The following is a 27,328-nucleotide window of genomic DNA, read 5'->3' as shown; positions in this document are numbered from 1 at the left end:
TTCATACACTAGCAATGAGAAATCTGAAAAAAAATTAAGAGAACCAGTTTTGAAATTGCATCAAAAAATAAAATACTTGGGAATAAATTTAACAAAAGAAGTACAGGACTTCTACACTGAAAACTACAAAACATTGTTGAAAAAATTTAAAGAAAAACTAAATATGTGTATAGATAGCCTATGGATCAAAAGACTTGATATTGTTAAAATGGCAATAAAGTTTCCAAACTGATCCACAGATTCAACATAATACCTATAAAAATTCAGCTGTCTTTTATGCATAAATTGACAAATGGATCCTAAAATTCACACTGAAATGCAAGTAACAATTTTTAAAGTGAACAGTTAGAGAACTCACACTTCCAATTTCAAAACTTACTATAAAAGTATAATAAACAAGACAATGTGCTATTGAAATAATGTAAGATATACAGATCAATGGAATTGAATTCAGATTTCATATTAGAAAGCCTGAATTTATGCCCAATTAATTTTCAACAAGGGTGCAAAGATCATTCAATAGTGGAAGAATAGCCTTCAACAAATAGTATTGGAACAACTGGATATCTAATTGCAAAAGAATGAAGTTGAAACCCTACCTCATTCCATCTACAAAATTAATTCAAAATGAGTGAAAGACTTAAATGTAAAATCTAAAACTACTCTTAGAAGAAAACACAGGAGTAACTCTTTGTGACCTTGGGTCAGGCAATGATTTCATGGATATGACGCTTAAAGTACAAGTGGTTAGAGAAAAAACAGATAAATTGGACTTCATCAGAATTTAAAACTTTTCTGTTTCAAAGGACACCTTCAAGAAAGATCAACTCATGAAATGGGAGAAAATATTTGTAAATTCATACATCTAATAAGGGACTTGTATCCAGAATACATAATTATTCTACAACTCTGTAATTAAAATGACATATAAGCCAGGCATGGTGGCTCACACCTGTAATCCTAGCACTTTGGGAGGTCAAGGTGGGCAGAACACGTGAGCCCAGGAATTCGAGACCATCCTGGGCAATATGGCAAAACTCCATCTCTATAAAAAATACAAAATTAACTGGGTATGTGGTAGCTCACACCTGTAGTCCCAGCTACTCAGTAGACTGAGGTGGGAGGATTGCCTGAGCTCAGGGAGGTCGAGGCTGCAGTGAGCCATGATCGCATCACTGCACTCCAGCCACTGCAGCCTGCGTGACAGAGTGAGACTCTGCCTCAAAAAAAGAAAAAATGACATATAACTCCATTAAAAAATGTGTTATGAACTAAACTGTGTACCCCCCAATTTTATATTCTGAAGCCTTAATGTCTTATGTCGCTTTATTTGGAGATATGTAGTATAATTAGGTAATTAAGGTTAAATGATGTCATAAGGGTGGAGTCCTAATCCAATATGGTTTCCTTACAGGAAGAGTTTTGAGGTGCAGGCATAGAGGCCAAATAAGGGTGTGGTGACCAGCAGTTATCCCCAAGCCAAAGAGAAAGGCCTCAGGAGAAACAAAACCTGCCAACACCTCAATCTTAGACTTTCAGCATCCAGAACGGTGAGAAGATAAATTTGTGTTATTTAAGCCACCCACTCTGTGGTTTTTTATGATATGCCTGGCTGACTAACACAAACGAATTTGAATAAACATACAAATGACATACAAATGACCACTAAGTATGTAAAAATCTCAAGATCAGTAATAATCAGGGGAGCACAAATCATAATCACAATAAAATACCACTTCACACTCACTGGGATGGTTGAAATAAACATAGACACTAACATGTGTTTCTAAAACTATGGAGAAATTGGAACCCTCACATACTGCTGGTGGAAACATAAAATAGTGCAGCCACTTTGGAAAACAGTGTGGCAGTTCCTCAAAAAATTAAACATAAAGTTATCCATAAAACCCAGTAATTCCTCTTCTAGCTATATACCCAAGAGAAATATAAACGTAGGCTCACACAAAACTTGTACACAGATATTCATAGCAGCAGAATTCATAATAGCCAAAAAGCCAAACTCAAATATCCAGCAATTGATAAAATTTAAAAGATGTAGTACATCCATAAAATGTAATATTATTCAGCCATAAAAGAAATGAAGTGCTGATACATGCTACAACATGGATGAACCTTGAAAACATTATGTTGAGTAAAAGAAGCTAGCCACAAAATATAACATATTATGAAATTCCATTTACATAAAACATAGTGAATATGTTCCATAAAGACAGAAGTAGATTGGTGATGGCTAGGGGATGGGTAGGGGTAAATGATGGGCAACTATTAATGGGTACAGAGTGTTTTGGGGGGGAATAGTAAAAATGTTCTGAAATCATATTGTGGTGACCATTGCATAACACTGTGAATATAGTAAAAACCACTGAATGAACACCAAAAGATGAATTATCAATAAATTGCAATAAAGCTATTACTTTTAAAAGATGCTTTGGCATCTCCCTTTTGCATGCAGAGTTAAGTCCAGGCTTCTTACTTGGACCTCTTTAATCTAATTACTTATTTTTCCAACCTTGTTCCCCACCACTTCAATATTCTCATCTATTTTCTTTTAATAGAAAGTACTCCTTTTCTTATCTTCCTGGAAGTTCATGCTCATTCTTTTATACCAATCTCAGGGGTCACTTCCTGATGACTTTCCCAATCAGCATATTTGATTATTCTCCAATTTGTACCCCTGGTGTATATTTTACGTATTTCTGAGCACTTACGTTTTTTCTAAGAATACTAGGAAATATTTCCCGTGGTAGTAAAACAAATATTGGGATTTAAAATATATATATTTATTTAAAGTCCACCATTTAAAAAAATGACATGTTTAAAATGAAATGAAATTCCATGGTGTTTGGCATTTATTGATAGTGGGCTACAAATGATCAGTTCAAGATACAATGGTACCTTACCTCCATAATAAGAACAGGGAGAATGAGCTTTAATGGAGGGATTGGACATAAATTTGTCAGAGACTACTTGATTTTATGAAAACATCATAAACTCCATGGAGAAATTTCATATGCCACTGAGTGGAGAGAATTCTGTATAAGCTAAAAAAGTGTTGGAAAGCTAGGACATAAAAAATTGGCAAATGACATGTATTTTTGAAAGATTTGTTCCATCACTCTCTTTTGGTTCCTGCAGATGCTGATGCAACAACTCCTGATCATATGCTGCTTTGCCATAACCTTAAGTTCAAATAAATGGGTATTTCCATGTTTCCATTTCATACAAAATTTAATGCACTTCTTTAGTGCTGCATTAAGCTTGCTGCATCTTTCAGGAAAAGGGTGTACACTACAAAGCCTACATTTTTGGTATGAGAGTTGATAATGTAAAACTCATTGCTTTTGTGTCACTGCATTTTTATATTTATATGTAATTTTTTCCCAATTTTAGGTAAATGATGAGGGATAACATATTAATACATATTTCAACTGACTTAAATGAAAATCTTTCATGATATAAATAATAAAGTCTTCATGAGTGGTTGGGTATATGGAAAATAAGGTATTGATTACTATAGGAGAAATCAAAATTAAGAATAGTAATAAAATTAATTTTTCTTGTTTTTATTTTAAAATAAGAATTTGACAATTTTTTTATACCGACTATTAAAAAGAATTGATATAAGTAAACTCAATTACTCCTTCTCTTCAAAAGTCATTTTGGCAATGGGAATATAACCAAGCCATGACAGGGACATTGTGAATTCTGTATATTAGGCCCAAAAGCAGGTACAATTTATAAGGTCTGATAATGTCAAGGTAAACACAATGATGATAACATATTTATATTGAACTTGCAAGTTAAGAAGTCATTTTCACATACATTACCTCATTTCATTTTCATAACATCCTCTGGAGTAATGAAGTCAGGTTTTATCCCCATTCTATAGATGAAAAAGCTAAAGCCAGAGAGATTAGATAAATTTTACAAGATTAAAAACTCACAGAACCAGAACTCAAGTTTCCTCACTCTTTTCCTGGAGCTTTTTTTACTTTTACTTTGCCATTGTTAAGCTGCAGAACTGTGTAAAATGGAAGGGATGCCAAACTGCTATGAACATTAGGACTGAAAAAGAAAACCTAGAGATTACATTCAGGTACAGGGTATAGAGTCCCTGTAATTCATTAGGCTCTGTGCTGGGTGCTAGGAAAACCATGAAAATATGTTTTTAGGTTTCCTTATACAACTTAATATATGTTATGACAGAAGTAAGGAAGCCGTGGACTCAATGACAAGTGATATTAACGTATACAGAATATTCAAAGAGTAGTTAAGAAACAAAAGATAAGACAATGAAATATGCATAGAAAGACTATCTTTGTGCGAGACAGAGAGAGAGACAAAGTACCTTACACCTAACCCCTTTGTGGAAGGACAGAATTTCCATTCTTGACCTACCACTACAAAAATAACTATAAACCTTAAACTCTATTGATGTTCCACCTACTAACAATGTATGACTTTGTTTTTCATGATCTACTATTACGCTTGCTTCTTTTTAATTCAAACTCTGCCTTCTTGGACTTTTGAGTTTTATAATATTGCTACATTTTCTGTGACATATTAGAAGCTATTATTTATTTAAACTTACCATTTCAAGTTTAAAAGATACTGTCTTAGCTGCAAGGGTTGTCATAACAAAATACCGCAGACAGGATGGCTTAAACAACAGAAATTAATTTTCTCATAGTTCTGGAGGCTAGAAGTCCATGGTCAAGATGCCAGCAAATTCAGCGTCTGGTGGTGGTGCTTTTCCTGGTTTGAAAAAGCTAACTAGCATTTCTCTTTGTCCTCACATGGCCTTTCCTTGGTTCAGGCATTGAGGGAGAGAGGGAGGGACAGCAGAGTGCATGGGAGAGAACACTCTGGTGTCTCCTCTTATAAGGACACTAATCCTGTCAGATCAGGGCCTCACCCTTATAACCTCTTTTAATCTTAATTATTTCCTTAGAGGCCCCATCTCCAAATACAGCCACCCTGGGAGTTAGGGCTTCAAGATATGGATTTTGGTGGGACACAAACATGCAGCTCATGACACACATTTCCTCTTAAAATATTAAATCTTGGAAAGAAAGTATATATACATCTACTTCTGTTCTTCAAATTTTAAAGCCTTTTATCTTATTTCAGATTTATCATCTTTCCAAGTGGGAGTCCCAAGATTTATCATCATCCCAAGTCCTTTTGATCAATTCAGCATCCCTTCTCTAGACTTACTGAGTTTTTTAAAGTCAACTTCATTAAGATATAATTTGCATATAATAAAATGCATCAATTTTAAGTGTCTAGTCATGAATGTTGCCAAATATAACAACCATCACAATCAAGAACTAGAACATTTCTATGACCCAGAAAATCCCTTGTGCCCTTTAGCATGAATCATCACACTTAGGGTACCAGACAGCCATTGATCTGCTTTCGCTCACTATAAATGAGTTTGCCTACTCTAAGTTATCCCACAAATGAAATAATATAGTATATGCTTTTCTATCCAGCCTCTTTCATACAATGTTTTTGAGATTGACCCTCACTGTACATCAGTAGCTCTATCCACTTCATTACTGCATAGTAGTGTTCCATTGTTTGTGTGCATATGTGTACCATTAACTTATCTATTGACATCTTCATAAATGTTGAATTGTTTCCAGTTTTGTGGCATTACAAATAAAGCTACCCTGTGTATAAATCTGGGTGAATATTAGTATATAAATCTTTGTGTGGACATATGTTTTCATTTTCTCGGGTAAATATCTAGGAGAATTGCTAAGTTGCATTGTAAGTGTATCCATAACTTTATAAGAAACTAGCACATTGTTTTTGCAAGTTGGTTGTAGCATTTTATATTCCCACTAACATGAATTTGAGTTCCAATTGCTACATTCCCCACAGCACTTGTTACTACCACTCTTAAAATTTTTGGCCATGTTAATGTATATGTAGTGGTTTCAATTTGTGTTTCCTGATGGCAAATGATATTAAACATTTCACATATTTATTGGCCATTCACATATCTTCTTCTGTGAAAAATCTGTGGAACTCATTCTTAATATATATTATGCACATTTAATTTACATAAATATTTTCTGCCACTCTGTGGCTTGACTCTTTAATTTTTTATTAAAAGCAGGAATTTTTAAATTTTGGTTATGTCCAATTATCACTCTTTTGGTTCATGCTGTCATACCCTAAGAAGTCTTTGTACATTGTCATGTCATGAAGATTTTCTTTTATATTTTAGTAGTGTTACAGATTTATGTGTTCTAGAAGTTTTTTTTTTTTTTTTTTTTTTTTTTTTTTTTTTTTTTTTTTTTTTTGAGACGGAGTCTCGCTCTGTCGCCCAGGCTGGAGTGCAGTGGCGGGATCTCGGCTCACTGCAAGCTCCGCCTCCCGGGTTCACGCCATTCTCCTGCCTCAGCCTCCCAAGTAGCTAGGACCACAGGCGCCCGCCACTACGCCCGGCTATTTTTTGTAGTTTTTTAGTAGAGACGGGGTTTCACCGTTTTAGCCGGGATGGTCTCGATCTCCTGACCTCGTGATCCGCCCGCCTCGGCCTCCCAAAGTGCTGGGATTACAGGCGTGAGCCACCGCGCCCGGCCGTGTTCTAGAAGTTTTATGGATTTATCTTTATGTTTAGATCTCTGATCAATTTGTACTTATTTTTTGTGTATTGTCTGAGGTGAGAATCAATTTTATTTCCAAATGAATATCCAGTTTTTCCAGCACAATTTGTTTAGAAGTGTCCTTTCTTCAAGTGAATTGCTTCAACATCTTCGTGGCAAATCTACTGAGCATATATATGTGGGTTTATTTCTAGTCTTCTAATCTATATATTCATCTGCATGCAATACCACACAGTGTTGATTACTGTTGCTTGATCTTAAGTTTTTTATTGAAATCAAAAAGTGAAAGCCCTGTCACTTTGTCTCTTCTTTTTAAAAAGACTTTTTCCCAGTTTAATCAGGGTTTTTAAAAAATCATGTCTGCATGTTGAATTTTTTCAGATTATTTTTCTGTAACTATTATAAACATGTGTTTTTCTAATTTATTTAGTTTAAAGGGTGAATTGCATTGATGGATTTTTCAAATGCTAAACAAATTTGCATTCCTGAAATACACTCTCTCTGGTAATAAAGTATATTATACCTGTATATATGACATTTTCTGCATCTGCAATCATGAGAAATATTGTCATGTAATTATTTTCTTATAATATGATTATGGTATCAGGAAAGTGTTCCCTCTTCTATTTTCTGAATTTTTTTTGGAATTGGCATTATTTCTTTCTTAAATTTTTGGTAGAATGTACCAGCGAATCCATTTGGATTTGTGTTTTCTGTATGGGAAGGTTTTTAACTATAAATTCAATTTATTTAAAAGACATATCTTGCTTTAGTTAATTTATTCTTCAGTGAGTTTTCACAGTTTGTATCTTACATGGAATTTGTCTACTTCATCTAAAATGTAGAATTTTTGGCATAAGTTTGTTCATATTATTCCCTTGTTATTGTTTACTCTCTGTAGGAATCCAAGTGATATTCCCTCACTCTTTCTCAATACTGGCGGACTAATTTTGCTTCAGTCTGACTCAAAGTTAATTAATTTTTTTTTTTTTTTTTTTTTTTGAGACGGAGTCTTGCTTTGTCACCCAGGCTGGAGTGCAGTGGCACAATCTCGGCTCGCCGCAAGCTCTGCCTCCCAGGTTCACGCCATTCTCCTGCCTCAGCCTCCCGAGTAGCTGGGACAACAGGCACCTGCCACCACTCCCGGCTAATTTTTTGTATTTTCAGTAGAGATGGGGTTTCACCGTGTTAGCCAGGATGGTATCGATCTTCTAACCTCGTGATCTGCCTGCCTCGGCCTCCCAAAGTGCTGGGATTACCGCGCCTGGCCTCAAAGTTTATCAATTTTTAAACAGTTTCAAGGAGTAAGCTTTTGGTCTCATTGATTTTCAATTGTCTTTCATTTTATTTATTTCTTTACTATTTATTATTCTCTTCCTTCTGCTTGCTTTGGGCTTAATTTGTTCTTTTTCTCATATCTAAAGGTGGAGTTTTAGATGACTGATTTAAAACATTTCTTCTTTTCTAATACAAATATTTCATACTCTAAGTACCTCAGTAAACTCTCTTTACTTGCCTTTCACACAATTTTTTGTTGAGAGACAGTCTCTCTTTGTCACCCAGGCTGGAATGCAGTGGTGTGATCACTGCTCACTGCAATCTCCAACTCCTGGGCTCAAGCAGTCCTCCACCTTAGCCTCCCAAGTAGCCAGAGCTACTGGTATACACCATCACTCCTGGCTAATTTTTTTTTTTTTAAGAGATAGGGTCTCCCACTCCTGGGCTCAAGCAATCCTCCACCTCAGCCTCCCAAGTAGCCAGAATTACTGGTGTACACCACTACTCCTGGTTAATTTTTCTTTTTTTTAGAGATGGGGTCTTGCTATGTTGCCCAGATTCTAGATCTCGTGATCCTTTTACCTCAGCCTCCCAAAGTTCTGGGATTAGAGGAGCCAGCCACCATGCCCCATCCCTTCCACACATTTCTATTTGCTGTTTTGATTTTTATTCCATTAAAATTAGTTTCTAATTCACCTTAAGGTTTATTGTATAACCCACAGATTATTTAGAAAACGATTGCTTAATTTCCGAATATTTGAGAATTTTCTAGGTACCTTCCTGTTGTTGAATGTCGTGGTCCAGAAATATGTCTTGTATAATGTGAAGCCTTTTAAATTTGTTCAGATTTGTTCTATGGCCTCAAATATGATTTATCTTGGCAACTGTTCCAGGTGCACATGAAAACATTGTGATTCTGCTATTGTTATTCCATAAATGTCATTTATTTCAAATTGGTTGACAGTGTTGTTCTGGTCTTTCACATCCTCATTGATTTTCTGTCTACATGCTCTATCATTGTGAATTTGTACATTTCTTCTTTCAGTTCTATCAGTTTTCCCCTGAAGTATTTTGAAGCATGGTTGTTTATACATACACATTTAGAATCGTTTTTACGAATTAATTACTTTATTATTGTGGAGTGCCCATTTTTATCCCTGGTGATATGTCTTGTTCCAAAGTGCACTTTGTTTTTTATTAATATAGCCACTCCACCCTCTTTTCATTAGGGTTTCCATGGTATATATTTTTTCATCCTTTTACTTTTAACCTAATCATGGCTGTATATTTAAAGCAGGTTCTTTGTATACAACCTATAATAATGTCTTGCTTTTTTATTGGAGTTTTTAAACCATTTTCGTTTAATGTAATGATTGATATGTTGTATTTGAATCTATAATCTTTCTGTTTTCCACTTGTTCCATCTACTCTTCCTTTCTTTATTCCTCTTTCATTACCTTCTTTTGGATCAATTATGTATTCTTTTTATAGCATATTATCTCCTCTATTGACTTATCTTTTGACCAACCTGCAGAAATATGATGGACACCCAACCAAAAATTGCTTCAGATGTCGAGACTAACAGTGGCCCACAGACACCAAAAGGTAAGAAAAGATTATTATTCATATTTAAGGCTATCTGCAGAGAGCAGGGAAGCCCCCCAGAAAGTCTGAAAATGGCATTAAAGAGCAGAGAAAGGAGATTAGCTTGGAGTTTTTGTGGTGGTTAGATGGTGGTGTTGGGGTAATGGTTCCTGCACAGTGGGCAGGGCTTGTGTGGTTTGAACTTCGCAAAGTGCCAAAGGAAGGAGCACCTAGAATTTCTTATTAGCTTGCCCAAAAGTGGGCAGAAGAGGAAGATAAGGGAATGAGGCTTAAAATCTGTCAACAAACATTTTTAAATGGAGTTAGATGCTTTATTTCAGCTTAACTTCTCTGTACTTTTTGTGGTTGCTCTAAGATTTACATAACACATCTTTCATTTATCATAATCTACTTTCAAATACTATGATAATATTTCATGTATAGAATAAGAAACTTAAAGCAATATACCTCCATTTCCTCTCTTCTAGTCTTTGTATTATTGCTGTCATTCAATTCATTTCTACATGATAGAAGCCTCAGAATACATTGTTACTATTTTTATTTAGACATTTATCTTTTAAAGTTCTTATAAACTAAGGAACATTTTCTTTTATTTATTATCAGTTTTACAATTTTCAGGGCTCTTCTATTTTTGTACAGATTCAGATTTCCATCTGGTATCATACTCTTTCTGTATAAAGAAATTTCTCTAATATTTCTTGGTGCACAGTTCTGCTGGCAATAAATTTTCACTTTTTTTTGTTTTTACTCTAAACATATTTTTATTTAACATCATTTTTTAAACATGTATTCTCTGGGGCCAGGCACAGTGACTCACGCCTGTAATCCCAACACTTTGAGAGGCCAAGGTAGGAGGAGCCTGGGCAACATGGCAAGACACTGCCTCTATGAAAAATTTGAAGATTAGCCAGGCACAGTGGCACACACCTGTAGTCCCAGCTACTGATGTGGTTGAGGTGGGAGGATCGCTGAAGCCCAGGCTGCAGTGAGCAGTGATCACGCCACTGCATTCAAGCTCGGGCAACAGAGTGAAACCTCAACTCAAAAAAAAAAATTTTTTTTTTCCTCTGGATATAGAATTCTATTGATCAGTTTTTCCTTTTGGTACTTCTATTATGCCTCTCCATTGTCTTTTGGCTTGCATATTTGTTAGGAGAAGTGTGTTGAAATTCTTATTTTTGTTCCTCTAAATGCACTGTTAGTGGCTTCTCTGCCTGTCTTTAAGATTTCTCTTTATGTTTCATTCTCATTATTTTTACTGTGATGAGTCTAGGTGTAGGGGTGTAGGTGTGTGTGTGTGTGTGTGTGTGTGGGGGAGAGAGAGCGAGAGATTTGTTGTTGTATTTATCCTCATTGGTATTCACTGAGCCCCTTCATCTGTAATATATTGCCTTTCATTATTTTGGGAAAACTCTCAGTCATTATTATTTCTCCTTCTTTACTCTTTCTCTCCTCTCTGTGGAAATCCAATCACATGAACATTACACCATTAGATATTATCCAATTCTTGGATAATCTATTCTTTCTTTTCACATTTTTTTCTGTTTATGCTTCACTTCAGATAATTTTAGTTGTCCTATTTTTAAGTTTACCAATTACCTTATCTTCTGTGTCAACTCTTTTGATAAGCTTCTGTAATAAAGAAGGTTGGGCCAGCAGCAGTGGCTCACACCTGTAATCCCAGCACTTTGGGAGGCTGAGGCAGGTGGATTGCTTGAGCTCACGAGCGCAAGACCAGCCTGGGCAAAAAATTTAATAATTAATCAGGCATAGTGGTATTTGCCTGTAGACCTAGATACTCAGGAGGCTGAGGTAGGAGGATTATCTGAGCCTGGGAGGTCGAGGCTGCAATGAGCCATGATCACATCACCGTACTCCAGCATGTTGACAGAGAGAGACCCCCATCTCAACAACAAAAACAAAACAACATACTCTATCTTTTTTGATGTTTGATTGTTGACAACTTTTGAGCTTCATACCTTCCTTTTCATTCTTCCCCACAGCTGTGCAGGCTGAGAGGAAAACACAAGTGCTCTTTCCTTTGGTGCTGATGGGAGGTTCATATACAACACACAAGCCACAGCCCAAGGGCAGAAACCATCACGTTGCTCCTGCCACTTATCCAACATAAAATAAACTTATTGTTACAAAGTAAAAACTACCATAAAATAAAATCCACCATGAAAACTTACCATAAATCTTTCTCATTATGTAAGTAATAAACATTTCATGCACCCTTTGTATGTGCATGGTATCACCAGTCAGGGCATCTGAACAAAATTTTGGATAAGGATCTATGGGCTTCTAATACTAATCCTTTTTATCTGATTTTTTTTATTTTGAGGATTTTATTTAACTCCTTTTTGTACTTTCTGTCTCTGCTGAAATTCCCCATCACGCGTGTTGCTTACCTTTTCTACTATATCTTTTAATATATTAGTTATAGTTATTTAAAAGTTGCTGTATACTAACTGCAACATCAGGGCCATCTCTGAGTCTGGTTCTGTTGATTGCTTTATGTACTGACAATTTTGTTTATTTCGTAATTTGAATGGCGTCCCTCACATGTAGAAGAAAAACAGGCTGCGCAAAGTAGTATTTAACCTGGAAATGGGCATGTCTTTTTTTTGTCAGGCATTTAGTCTGGGGTTAATCAGGCACTGGGCTGAATTTTCAATTCTTTGTCATTGTTGGAGACACCTTCAGTAAAACACAGACTTCAAATTCCTCCAACAGAGAGTGATGTTACTTAGTGCTTAATGTGGGATCTAAGGTGCTCAAGGGTTTTTCTCAGTGTTCCTGCTCCATATCAGCTTTTGGTAGTCCCAGTTCACCTGAACAACACAGGGGTCTCTTTCAAGGCCCTGGCTTCAACCCCAGAATTAGAAACCTATTGCTTATTACTCAGTATTGGACTTGTATTAAAGGCAGGATTTTTTTCTCCATTACCAGAGTCCAGACTATGTCTTGGGCAGGCTTTGTTTGCCTGGGCCTATGATGTCAAACTTTCTGGGCTATCTTCATGCAAACTCTAATTTGTATCTTTAAGAGTGTTTTCTATTGCTCCCCCTGTGATATCAGTGTAGAATCATGTGGCTAGGAACTTTTGTTCCTATGCCTCCTTCACAAGTGGTGTTTCTTTATCTGAGTCCAGAGTGAAAGAGTTTTCTACTCTCCCCCAGAGCAGGCAGTCTTGTCCTTTACACTCCCCACGAGAAACAGTGCATCTTTACCTCGTCTCTTGGAGAAAGGCGGTTTTCTGCTCCTCACCAAGCAGCCTTTGCTTCATAAAAGAGAAAGGTCCAGGCAAATGGGTGGGTTTTATATATAAAGGATCTCTCTCTGCTCACCTGCCTTGCTCCCAGTGTTTTTCATGAGAATCCAGTGCAGACCCATGGGAAAGAGCTTGTAAATGTGTACAGACTTCTCTTGTATCTGTGGCTTCCAGTTAATCTAAATTATCATTCTAGCCCAGATTTGACCTTTAGTATTTTTTTTTTTATTTCAGCATCTTTTTTCTAAACGATTTGTGTGTCCTTTTTTCCCCCAATTTTCTGTTTGATTACAGTGTGAGGGCAAGTCTGAAATCAGTTTCTCTGGCGTGGCACAGACAGGTGTTTCTTCAATTTGCTATTATTTTTAAATGTACATAGAGTAATGTGGCATTGACTGATTAATATGGTGAGATGGAACTTCCTTATTAAAAGTCATTCTTTTCTAGATTATATCCAGAACACTTTTGAAATCTTTGCCAGATTTAGAAAATCATGAAAATTTCTTCAAGAAACTGTTTGTAGTTCGTATTTTACTTTTTAAAGCTAGAATTTATTTCAAATTCTTCATGAAATGGAATGATCCGAAAGGGGCTAAACTGTAACTCTCTTACAGTGGGTAAGGAGAAAAAAAACCTTCAAAAATCACTTGTAAAGTCTCCCTTTGAAGGATAAAGCATTTTTGACTCTCTGACAATGGCCACCTTCAGAACCATTGTTATGTTTTGAATGTTTTTCCTCTCCAAAACTCAGGTTGAAACTTAATCTTCAACATGGCAGTAGTGAGATGTAGGGCCTTTAAGAGATGACAAAGTGGTGTGAGGGCTCTGCCCTCATGAACGAATTAATCAATTCATGGATTAATGGGTTAATGAATTAATGGGTTACCATGGAGTGGGCTGGTAGCTTTATAAAACGTGGAAGATAGACCTGAGCTAGCATGCTCAACCCTCTCACCATGTGATGCCCTATACCACTTCAAGACTCCGCAGAGTTCCTCCCAGCAAGAAGGCCCTCACCAAATGCAGCCACTCAACCTTGGACTTCTCAGCCTACATAACTATAAGAAATACATTTGTTTTCTTTACAAATTATCAGTTTCAGGCATTTTATTATAAACAACAGCAAAAGGACTAAGACAACCATGGACTCATTAAGAATAGCCTTGCTGAGGAGGGTTAAATAACCCCGCTATTTAATGGAAAATTGATATAAAATCACTTAATTTGAAAGATTTAGAAAGAAAAGCATTCTGATCCACTGGTAAGTAACAGAAAGGGAATGCCAGCACCAGGCAATCCCTGGAATATAACTTTAAACTGAGCGCTAAGGCTGAAGCCTCAGAGCCTCAAGCATGGGACTCCCTACTCTGAGCATTGGATAAGCATAGCCAGACAGCCTTCATCTGTGCTCCATTTTGCAGCAAGAACCCACAATAGTCATAAATTAACCAGACCCCAATTCTCTTTCCACAGGAGAATGCTAGGCAAATCCCTCTGTAGGACTGTGTAACTAGATTATAACAGTAAGTCTTGTGATTCTTCAGGAAGTCTTGATTTGCTGCTATAACAGAAGTAGAGGCTCTAGTGGTTAATTCAAAATATAAAATTATATGACCATATTTGTGCACCACAACTACAGCACACATCATATTACCCATAGACTTGAGTAGTCTTAGTGAGGATGTCATAAGGAAAGAGTTTCTCTAGTGTATTTTTATCTACTTAAAAAAAATCACCTGACCACAGTGGCTCATGCCTATAATCCCAGCACTTTGGGAGGCCAAGGCAGGATGATTGCTTAAAGCCAGGAGTTTGAGACACGCCTGGGCTACATGGCAAGCTAATACAAAAAAATTAGCTACGCATGGTGGTGCAGGCCTGTAGTCCCAGCTATGGGGGGCTGAGGCAGGAGGATCTCTTGAGGTCAAGAGTTCAAGGCTGCAGTGAGTTGTGTTCATGCCACGGCACTCCAGCCTCGGTGACAGAGTGAGACCTTGCCTCAAAAAACAAAAACAAAAAATCATTCAGTTAACACAACAAATTCTGTACTATCTTTAGTAGTTCACTACAGAAAGTTATCTTATAAGAGTTAGCTTTTGGAAATATCTAACTTTCTAAAGTAAAAAATGTATAATTACATGCAGTACCATGATTCTTATCATGGTATTCTATTTTTTAATTTCTGTGATTATTTTAGCAATGGGTCTGTCTGTACTCCCTGTTGATTTTTTCTTTAAAAACGCTTCTAAAACTTAATGCTCAGATCCCTGTCAACTTTAGTGAGAAAAAGCTACGTAGCGTGGATAGATTTTCTTGCATTTCACTTGTGTGTAAATGACTTCATTGAGCATCACAGTTTTTAAAGGATGAATGGAAAAAGGAATTCAATGATATTTTGCATAATCTTAATTTGGCAAAAGAGTGTTGCAAAAATGGCACAGAACAGTAATACTGTTTTAAAATAAGACTCTGATCAATAAAATTAGCATCAGTATATTAGATACTCAGAAGAAAAATGTAAATCAGATTTCCAACATTTGCCCTGTTTCAACTCTGTGCTTATTATTTTCAAATGTTTGTCTCCTGTCTCGATATCGTCTCTGAGTTTCCAATTTATATGTTCATATGCCTACTTGGTATGAGTACTTAGGTATCTAACAGAGACCCTAAATTTCATGTGTCCAAAACAAAACTCTCAGTTTCTACTCCTGCTCACACTAACTCAATTGGTTTTTCCAACAGTCTCCTCCATGGCCCCTACTTGCCCAAGCTAAAAACCCAAGAGTCATCTCTCAACTTTGTAGTGGACACCATTTGACATGAAACTATTCTCTGCATCATGTTTGGCACTCGGTTGCCTCATTTGTTAACCCTAAAAATGTTCAAATCCAATTTGAATTCTTTATTGAAGGGTAACAACAGAGTGAGTCCTCTTCTAATAATGAGGAGATGATTTCCCATTTTCAAGACCACAGTCAGGTTTAAAGGCTCTTGTCCCCCATTAATTCTATCAAACTCCCTTAGCTAAGTCAAGGCATTGCTTTAGTAGCACCAACTTGGTAGCTTAAACAATAGAAATTTACTATTTCACAATTGTGTAGTCCAGAAGTCCAAAATAAGTTTTACTGGGCTAAAATCAACATGTCAGCAAGGCCACCCTCTCTTCAGATGCTCTAGCGGGAAACCTGTTCCTTGCCTCCTCCAGCTTCTGGGAATTGCAGGTGTTCTTTGGCCAGTAAATGCTTCACATTTGGAGTGAATGCTTCACTGTAGTCTCTGCCTCTGTTGTTACCGTTGCTTTCCCCTCATCTGTCTGTGTCAAATCTCCCTCTGGATGAAAGAGTTTCTTTATGCCCTTTTATAAGGATACTTGTGATTGCATCTAGGGCCCACTCAGATAATCCAAAACAATCTCTGCATCTCAAAATCCTTACTTTAATCACACCCACAAAACTCCTTTTTGCCACATAAGATAACACTTATCTGTTCCAGGTATTAGGATGTGGACATCTTCTGGAAGAGGGCATTATTCAGCCTACCAAAATCATACAGTACGTATTTCAGACAATGACTTTAAACGTATCACTGATTGGATGAAGAGACAGAGGATCTGATTACAAATTCAACTCCAGTCATTTATTTGCACATCTAGAAGTTGAACTGATGCCATCTTCTCCTAAATAGTAAATAAGAATAAAATCCTTACAATTTTTTTCCCAACCTGTCATCACCATTTATTATTACCTACAAGACAGTTACAAATAATTAGTGCTTATATTAACACCTACAAATAATATATTCTTTCTGGATTATTCCAAGACTTGTCAGCTGCTTGTCACTGAAGACATGCATTTGACAGTTTCACCCAATTAGTTAAAAATCATATTTGTCTTTTCAAAGGAATGTCTCACAGTTAATCTTTTTTGTTGATTTTCTACTGTTTTTAGAGAGGAGAATTGTACTCCAGATATGGTTTCTTATACCACCTTTCTTTTATGATATTCAGGGAACCATAGTGATTTATTTTTATTTCTAGTCATTTTGTGACCAGATTTTTCAGATGTCCATATTTGAAAGACAACAGTTGAAAAGAGGCTCTTTTTAAGACCTGATCATTAAGTTTAAGGTCATGGATTGAGAAAGTTCAGTTTAGTGAAAAGATCCCAAAGTTTGTAATCATAGAATCAGGGTTTCTGTTCTGACTCTGCCATTCCCTCAGCTCAAGGCCTTTATCTGCAAAATGGGAGTTGTTATAATAAAACCCACAAAACAAGTTGTTAATACAATTAAAGTAAATAAGTATATTTCTGGAACTGTAAAATACAATTCAAGTTATAATTATGGTCATCTGAGATGCTCCTCATAGATTTTTTTGAAATAGGGTGTTATTTCAAATGTCTCTGTTTATTAATTTATACTTAATCATTCATTTAACATCTACAGAGTAGCTACTATATGTCAGATGCTTTTCTTTGTGCTAGGGTAACACAGTAATGAATAAAGCAACTAAGTCATTGCCTTAATGGCACCTGTGTTCTAGTAGAGACCATTAAATGCTAAAGCCCTATCTTTAGAGGCTATTGCTAAGAAACTTACCCTTTCAGATGTCTGTTCTGTTCTGGCTTATGGGGAAGTCCTACATGCACTCATTTTTTGATTCACTCAACAAATCATTGTGCATCTACAATGTGTCAGGATTGTTATAAATGCATTTATCAAAATGACAGTCCCTTAAATGGTTTAATCCAGTAGGTGAAACAATAAACTGGCAATGATACCAGAAAGGGAACAGAAAGAGTACAGCATTCTATAGGAGCTCCTCAAGACAGCATCCAGCCCAAGGCAGGAAGTCTTGTCTTCTCAGAGTTAATAACATCTAAGCTGAGTCTTAACAACTAACAAGATTTGTGAGGGAGCGGTCAGAGACATTATGGCAGATAACTATCAAGATCAGCAGTTAATGTGGGCTTCGGGGCAGTCCCAGGTGAGAACATTGTGGCTTGTGTCTATTCAATTGCAGGGCATTCAAATAATATCCTCCACAAATTTTGAAAGGATTCTCTTGCCCATCCTCCCCAATAATAAAGTACAGTTGCCCCCTCAGTATCCATGGGGTTCCACGATCCCTGCAAATACCAAATCTGTGGATGCTCATCTTATATCAAATATATTTGCGTATAATCTATGCACATTTTCCCATATACTTTAAATTATCTCTAGATTACTTATAACACCTAATACAATGCCTACACATCACTTCATTTGCTTGGATTCAAAGTAGTTCTTCGTGCAAATTCAAATTTTGTTTTTTGGAAATTTGTGGATTTTTAAAAAATATTTTTGATACCCAGTTGGTTGAATCCACAGATGCAGAACCCACATATACAGAGGGCTGACTGTGCTTAGTGATCTCATTTTTACATTCCTTATTATCAGTATTTGATCACTGTTTGTTGACATGCTAAGGAAATGCCCTCTTTATATTCTAATTGGAGAACTGAATGGGGAGTAAAAAAAATTCCCAATTGGCTAGGTTGGAAGGGCCTTTTTGAAACTAACTTTGCTTGGTAAGATCAGGCAAGTTTTTCACTACAGAACTGGCTTTGACATTTGTCTTGATACATGCTTCTAAGTAACTGGCCTATAGTTTCTTATAATTCCCTTGACTAATAATAGAAACCTAACTAGGGCAGAGCTAAGAATGCTGATGGAGACTAAATAGATTCAGCTGTGAGTTTTGGCAGCAGTAGGGACTAGGCCTCAAACTGGCCAGTTCTGGCACTATTGACTGATCAGGTATTTTTTATTTCCAATTTAGCCACTTCACCCTATTACTTGGAAAGCTGCTGACTGGGCTTGTATCGTTGGTGCTATTAATTGAGCTGAATATTTATTTGGGTAAAATATTAATACTATTTTTGTATCTTTGCCCCAAACTTATTTTTGAATACTTTGAAAAAACCATTGGATGATTCTTCAACCTAAATTAGACATAACCTTTCATGCTGCAAAAAGCCAGATATTGTTGTAAAATGGTCTGTACAGTGACTAAATTTCTATATAACCAAAGCTTATTTTGCATTATGTCTGGGTTTTAGGTTATATGGTGGTCTTCCAAATTAAATTTTTTTTATGATGGTGTGTGGTTCTATCACCCTTTCATGAGCAGTTTATGTTGTATTGAGAATTCTCGAGACTGTGGTGTTGGTAGAAATCTGACAGTTTTATTCCCTTGCTCACAAAGAGGGCATTATCTCCTTTTTTATGGGAACATTGGTGGTGATTACCCACTGGATTGCTGTCTGAATGTAAAACATGCCTTTATTATGACTTCTGGCTTTTGTGAAGGTGTCATCTTTTGATTCAGACTCGAAGGGCTGGACCAAGGTAGTTAAACTTGACAATGAATTTTTGAATAAATTACTAACCCCATAAAGTATTCAATGATGGAGGTGGTTCTATGACAGGATACCCCCCTTTTCTTCTCTGTGGAGATGACTGTTATCCCTTCATTTGAAGTATTAAAAATGGCCTTGGTTGTTTGGGTGATTCATCATGAAAAGAATTGGTTCTTAGTGTTACTTCCATTACCTCTCCTCTATCATCCATAGGCTCGACACCTCACATTTTACTGGTATAATTTTCCCCATCCAGACTTGAAATCACTCTGATTAGGTTTCTTTTTCAACTGAGTGCCTTATTTTCCCAAGGGGATTTAAAATTTTCCTCCTATTGACATAGTGCACCAAGAACGATGGTGCCAAAGCACAGGGCTCTTCACACAATTTTTTTTAATGCAGAACATATTTGTACTAGGGAGACAGCTACAAAAGCCTATAGGTAGTTCTAGCATTTGGAGGAAACAAAGCCTTTGGCAAAAAACCATCTGATGAGATGCCAACACTGAAAAGCTGTATTTCCACCAAGTAAAATTTAGCATAGTGCCAGTAATAAGGGCACTGAAGCAAGAATCAGCTATGCCATGGTAGAACAAAATGGAACAAGAGCAACGTAAGATATGTAGAGGTGGGTTTAAGATAGAGGACAGTTCTTTTAGGCCCACTAGTTAATGGTTATCACCTGTTCCCCTCTGAGGAGAAAGTGGAAATTTATATCAGCTCTTATCATATGTCCTTTAGTTTTTTGTATATGGGTATGTTCATTTCCATTTGATGCTGTCATAAATTACCACAAACTGGGTTGCTTGAAACAACATAACTTTGTTATCGAACAGCTCTGGAGATTGAAAGTCCATGGCTTTGTTCCTTCTAGAAGCTGTGGGAAGGACTCCCCTTCCTTTTCAATTGCAGCTTCTGGAGGCTGCCCACATTCCCCCATCCTCTGTTTCACTCTCCACATCTTCCTGTCTGATTATGACTCTCCTGGGTCCCTCTTTTAAGAATGCTTGGGATTACACTGGGTACACCCAGATAATGCAGGATAATTTCCCCATCTCAAGGTGCTTAACATAATCACATCTGCAAAGTGCTTTTTCCACGTAAGGTAACAAACTCACAGGTTCCAAGGATTCAGATGTAGATATCTTTGAGGGGCCATTATTCAGCCTAACATGAGGGTAAACTCTCAGCAGTTCTTTTCACAGATTGAGTGTTAGGAATAGTCCACAAATCCTTCAGGTTATCTTTATAGTTTAGTGTGTCTCTACCTGACTCAGATTCATCTGTGGCACCTGGGAGTCAAATCTGAGTAAGCAACATCCTACACAAAATTGTCTAAGTCGGATTTCGTTTTATATATAACCCATGTGTGCTACATAGTACGCAATATATTCCTTCATTCAAGTCACTAGTATAAATTTTGAACTGGATAATGTCAAAGACAGAGCCATTTCCTAGTAAAATGAAGACTTCCCTCCTTAAATATTGAAGAGCAACTGTTAGACTACAAGTTATTAATTCACTTACTAATCTATGAAGTGTTTTACCATTTTACTCTAAATAACAACAAAAAATTATCAAACCCTTCACTGAAATCAAGAAGTGCTAAAGCAATTACTCTTTCCTGAATTACCACCAATCACTATTTTAAAGTGATATGGCTTCACTAGTTCTTCATGAATGTATATTGATTGCTAGTGATCATCGCATTCTTTTCCAAAGGTTCACAAGCCATCTATTTAAAAAATCCAATCCCAAATGCTGATAAGAATTAAAATTAAGTTGTTTAGTTCATATTTTCTGGCATTACCATCATCTCCCTTAAAGGACTGAAATATCATCTGTAAGTCTTATGTTTTCCTGCACCATTCTTAGAAGCCATAAACCTACAATTTCTTCTTATTCTACATAGTTAAAATAATCATTTTTGTCATCCTTTTTTCTCTCTCTCTATAGCTCACCTCATTTGCCTCACTTGAGCTTTAATCTTCTTGGTGTTTTTCTCACATTCCTGTCATATTTTTATACTTTTCTTTCATTATATGTCTCTCTTTATATCTTTTGTAAAAGTCTTTTATGAAACAACTTAGAATGAAATACCTATGCAACCACATTATTTTCCTTAGATGCCTTTCTTTTGCCCTCCTCATTGAACTATTCAAAATGTTTGTACAGTCAGAATTATACTTATAGAACTTTCCACCCTTCATCATCTATTTCCCTTCTAGAGTCTCAAGGAAACTTTTTAGCAATTGGCTGGCAAAGTCTATGGCACATGAATAAACAAACCAGCATTCCCTTTCTTTATATTAGGCATTTACTGTTTCCTTAATAATCAGTTTTTCCTTCTTAGTTAAAATCAAGTCCAGGATGGTATTTGCCTAAGTTGACTGTCTTACTTTCATAATAAAATAGTCTCCTTGTCAAAAGTTTATCAGATCCCCTCTTTTTAGCCAAATTAGACTTCCAACAGATTTCAAAAAAGCTGAAGTTTCCTGCAACACAAATATCTATCTTTATAATCTGCCATAGAGAAGCATATTTTGTCTGTTCAAGAAGATATCACACAATATCATTTCAACCTAACTCTCTTTCTATATCATCCAACTGCCTTCTGCCATGCTTAGAACCTCAAGTTCATAAATTTGTATACAGTTGATATATTTTTTCTGGGAGGAGCCACTCACCAACTCTTCTTTTTAATCTATTTCTAGTTGCCATATTCCTATCAAAAATCTAAACTCACAATGTACAGTAATGCCTAAAATTGTGTTAACTCGTTGACAACATTTTGGGTTCAATTTATTGACCATTTTCTGTGGGCTAATTATGCATCAGTGTGAGGCCTAAGTATCTTTCAAGATTGGTGTCACGTTATTTTCATTTGATAATTCCTGCTCACAATAATTATTTTTTTTTTTTAAAGAGGGGAGGGCCTGGCATGGTGACTCATTCCTTTAATACCAGTGATACCAATGCTATGGGAGGCTGAAATGAGGGGACTGCTTGAGGCCTGGGGTTGAGACAAGCCTGATCAACATAGTGAGACCCTGTTCCTACAGAAAAGAAAAATTAGCCAGGTGTGATGGCATGCACATGTAGTCCTAGCTACTTGGGAGGCTAAGGTAAGAGTATCACTTGAGCCCAGTAGTTGGAAGTTGCAGTGAGTTGTGATCACATCACTGCACTCCAGCCTGAGTGACAAAATTTTTAAAAAGTTACCACTGCATACAGCCGATGTTAAATAGAAACTACATCCCCAAAGACTACCAATAAAAACTAAATATATTTTGACACACCAGCACAGAATATTGTGACTGTATAAAATAAAAAAATAAAAAGTATGTGGATAGTGTTGATACATGGAAATAACTACAGCCCAGCATATGGGGAAATGTTACAAGAAAGAAGCAAACCAACACATTGATTCCAACTATGTGAAAATGAATACATTTAAATTAACAGCCATTAGAAGATCATTTGGAGACAGTAAATAGTTGTATCTTCAATAGCAGTTTGAGGTATCAAGAAATCAAGATTTTAAAACTGCAAATAAGTAACCAAGTAGTCCATATTTTATTTATATATGTACACAAAGACAACTTCATCCAATTGAAGTCTACTTCAGTGTCGTCATTAGCTCAGCCAGATGTAATAGCTGAATCCCTGAGACTCAAGTAAAGCAGACTGAGATCAAAGGAAACGAAAAAGATAATTCATGTGCTGTTTTTAGTCTCTTCAATGTATATCCAGAAAGATCAAATATTTTAATTGGGGGTTTTATGAGCTCCTAGTTTTCTCAAATTGCAACTAAAACTAATCTTCATCAAAATCATCTAGCATTTTTGTTAAACATACATTTTTCTTGTCCTTACCAAGGCCTATTCCAATTACAAGAACTAAAGCCTGAAGCCTGACACTCTACCTTTGTTGATGAGCACCTCAGCTGATTCATAGGAATTCTAAATTTTAAGAACTATAGCTGGCTGGGCATAGTGACTCACAACTGTAATCCCAACACTTTAGGAGACTGAGGTGGGCAGATCACCCAAGGTCAGGAGTTCGAGACCAGCCTGGCCAACATGGTGAAACCCAGTCTCCACTAAAAATACAAAAATTAGCCAGGTGTTGTGGTGCACCCCTATAGACCTAGCTACTCAGGAGGCTGAGGCAGGAGAATCACTTGAACCTGGGAGGCGGAGGTTGCAGTGAGCCAAGATGGCACCATTGCACTCCAGCCTGGGCAACAGAGCAAGACTCCATCTCAGAAAAAAAAAAAAAAAGAAGAACTATAGAATTCTTATAGAAGACTTTAAGAGATCTATGAATCCCCAAATCCTGAATTTATGAGAGTTTTTCTGGGAAAAGCATTCATGGCTATCATGAGATTCTTCATGTGTTCATAACTCCCAAAAAGTCAATGGAACCAGAAATTTTAAATGTCTCTCCCATCAACATACTTTCCCACCATTGATGTAGACAATACAGTAAGTTTTGAATCATCCAGCATGCTTTGGTTTATTTGGTTAAAAAATTAACCCCTCTTCTTAACTTTTCTTGAACAGTTAGCTAGCTTTTTAATAGCTAGCATTCAACGTAAACTTAGCAAACAATTATTTTTTAATTTTTGGCTTAAATAAGATTTATTCATGGAATAAACTATCTGAAAGACCTAATTGCCACACCAGTTGATCAAATTCACAATTTTATTTGACATTAGCAGGCCGGGGATTTTTCTATAATGTAAGCCCTGGTGTTTAATAACGTAAGATGTGAGTTGTGTCTATAGTCTTTACAGCAGATCTAAAAATGTTTCCTTGATAGGTATCTTTGAATATAAAAGTCACCCAGAAAAATCAGCCATACTCTATACAGAAATTAGGCAGTAACTTTTGTCACTGAGGACATCAGAAGAGTTTGTATCTTAAGAATGGCAATTCTTAGATAGCAGATGTCTTTGGTACAACCATATCTATGGCAAAGGAAACAATCAAGTTCTATTCTAAGCTACATTGAGACCGTGGACTTTAAACTTGATAGTTGTGCTGTAATGGGAGTAACTCTGCAGCTGGGTGAGAGGACATATTTTGCATTTGAAAACTGGAGAACAGATGGTGATAGACTGAAAAAATTGAACCACAATCTTTTACAGTTCTTACCAATAAGTGGTAGTTTATTTTCCCCCACCCCCTGGATCTTAGTAGTCTAATAATTTTCTTTGACTGACAGAATGTAGCCAATTCTGGAGTCTGGGCCACAGCTTCCAGATTCATCACCTCTTGGAACACTACTGCTTCCATGTAAAAAAGCAGCTAAACTACTGAATGAGAGGTAACATGGAGAGAGAAAGAGAGACCAGGTCAACAGCCAGTATTAAGGCCCAAGACACGTGAATAAGGCCATCTTAGACTCTCTATCCATGACTAAGAGGGAGCAGGACTACAACCACATGAATGACCTCTGGCAAGACCAATAGAAGAATTACTCAGTTAATGCAGCCAACTCAGAAAATCACGAGAAATACTAAATTATTACCACTGTAAGACACTAAATGTTGGAGTGTTTTATTACATAGCAATAATTAATGCATGTTGAAACTTGGCCAGAGATTTTATAGAAGTAGGAATAAAGACATAGAAATCACTAGACTATATTTTGTAGATAATATCTTATTGTGGTGGACAAGAAGATGTGCTACCTAGACCTCCTTCAAGGAATGACTTGCTGCCCAGCTATGGAGAATGCAGTTAACACACAGCCTCAACTGTTAGCTCCTTTAGGTTTCATATCTCAGGTGCTAATAATTGCCTCTCCCAAGATCGTGCCACATTTAGTGACTAAGTGAGATGGGGATAGAGAGTCCCAGCAATTTCAATCCAAATGGTGACATGCTTATGTGCAATTCTTGCTCAAGAGCTCTCCACTAGGTTGGTCAAGCCTTCTTAATAAATTAATAGGAATGGTTGTGCTAGGGACAGTTTCCTTAGGGTTGTAGATTACGATAGCAAGCATTAGCCCATGTAAATAAGCTGTGCTAGGCAACCTTCTAGGTTCATTCTGATGAAGATTCCCATCATTATGTTTCCTGCAGACTGCTACTGTCAGTTATGGGGAAGTAATGAGCTATGTCTGTTATTATTAGTCAGTGACTCTACCATGTTCCTGCTGGTCAAGCAAAGTCTGTTCTCACCACTTACCTGGCCTCCCTGGACTTTTTAACTTCTTATAAAAGTAAATGATAGACATGATAACAAATCAGACCCTGTCTTGACACTTTCATTGATTTGTTTTAAAAACTAGATTAGTTCATCTTATTATTATAATAATATTAAACTACATACCCAATGTTTTTCAAATAATGTAATGTTCACAATGACTCATCAAGATGAATATATTATCCCAGGTTAAAAAAAAACCGAAGCTTAGTTACACAAGGTCATATAGGTAGTAAATGGATGATTTAATCCTAAATCTTGATGACTCTTAAGCTCATGTTTTTTCTGCAGGTTCACCGTCTCTTATGGAGCTAAGCATTGACTGAAATAGAAGGGAATAAAACACAACTGTTTGAAGGGTCACGGTCTAAATTCCTACCATGTATAATTTTCTTTGACACAACTAAATAAGAAAGAGAGAGACAGAAAGAGAGTATGCCAGAAATTAAAGGAAAAAAAGAAATAATTAAAATAATCAACTCCATGGAGGAAGAAGAGCAGAGTGGTGACCACATAAAAGGCTGGATAGAAGCCCATGAAGTCATAACATTCAAAGAGAATGAACATGAGGGTCTCAATACTCTGACATGTAAGAATTTACCTCCACCTCCTGAAACTTGAAAGGGGTTAATTTTAAGACAAATAAGAAGTATGATTTTACACAGTATTGAGTGGATTTAAAGAACTCATTATCCCACAGAGATAGTACTAGCTAAAAACACAAAGGGTTATAAGAAATTTGTAAATTATTCCATCAGCAGCAGACCCTTAATGGTTTGGCGAGAAAACCAAGAAAATTTAGGATTGGGGTGGAAAGAATAACCCATGATGCTGAGATCCCAAAGCCCTTCTGTGGTCCTCTGCCAGGCGCAGAGTTCTAGGTGGGCTGGCTCTCACCCTACCCTAGTTTAACACTTCTTATATGCATTTGCTTGCTTCTGGGAGAAAGAAGATGCTGCACTGGCAAAATCTGTCTGGACAAGTCTTTGGATTCAATTTCCCAAAACTGAACATAATCCACCTTATTTCTCCCTTAAAGACAAAGCTTGTGTCTTTGTCTTGAGGTCACCTGAATAGTGTGGAGTGGGGTAGTGGTGTGCCAGGGGCTGCTAAGCCCCTTGTCTCCTAGAGCAGATTCGCTGTAAACCCAAACATGCCTCTTACTTGGGCCCAACCCCCAGATTTCTTGAGTACAAACCTCATCTCTGCCCCTGAATTGTGCCTGTGGTAAAGGGGGTTAAATTTTTCATTCTCACTCTATCATTGGTAGTTCAATAGATTTTTACTCTCTCTTCATCTCCTGCCCATTCCCTCTAGGGCTAAAGGCTTGAAGTTTAAGTCTCTCTTGAAGAAACGGCCATGCTTCATTTAATCCTGCTGCAGCCAGAGTGCTGTGGATGTCATGCTTCTGATGAGACATTAAATCAAGGTAAACATTAATCCCCCAGGCTGGAGCATCTATGAAGAGAAGAAAAATGTGGCTTCACCTCACAGGAAACACTGCAGCCAATCTAGGCCCTCTATGTTGCCTCCAGACCTCACACACTTGGAGTTAATTAGAAAATTCTCCCTCTGGAATATATTATAAGCTGTGTTTACTTTGGTGGAGAAAATATTCTCACAAATCTTGCCTGAATACAAATGCTTCTGAGGAGTAAAAAATAAGAAAACATAAATAAATTTGTGCATCAAAGCAAAGCACTTCTGCTTTCAACAAAGGCCAATATAATCTATATTTCTACATGACCTAGGTGCAATACATTAAGATGCAGACTATATGAGCAATAATGTAATCCAGTTAAATCACCCCAAAAGAGCAAAGTGATTTGAGAAAAGATCAAGAAGGTGCCAGCTCTGTATCCCCATTTCAGACTATCTGCCCCTAAAAGTTTTCTTTTTTTTTCATTTTTCAGACTT

At 36.7% G+C, this 27,328-nt stretch overlaps 1 annotated feature.

Moving 5' to 3' along the window:
* Positions 25,914-27,113: an enhancer, noted in NCBI's record as "BRD4-independent group 4 enhancer chr3:115003756-115004955 (GRCh37/hg19 assembly coordinates)". NCBI's record gives its function as "activates an origin of replication core promoter dependent on BRD2, P300/CBP, MED14 and CDK7 cofactors, and independent of BRD4, by STARR-seq in HCT116 cells {active_cell/tissue: HCT116}" and the evidence as "EXISTENCE:reporter gene assay evidence [ECO:0000049][PMID:35650434]".

The sequence above is a fragment of the Homo sapiens genome, chromosome 3 (assembly GCF_000001405.40).
Source record: "Homo sapiens chromosome 3, GRCh38.p14 Primary Assembly".
In the NCBI taxonomy this organism is placed as follows: Eukaryota; Metazoa; Chordata; class Mammalia; order Primates; family Hominidae; genus Homo; species Homo sapiens.
The sequence above is the reverse complement of the archived record's forward strand: the minus strand, read 5'-3'. Positions and strand labels throughout refer to the sequence as shown.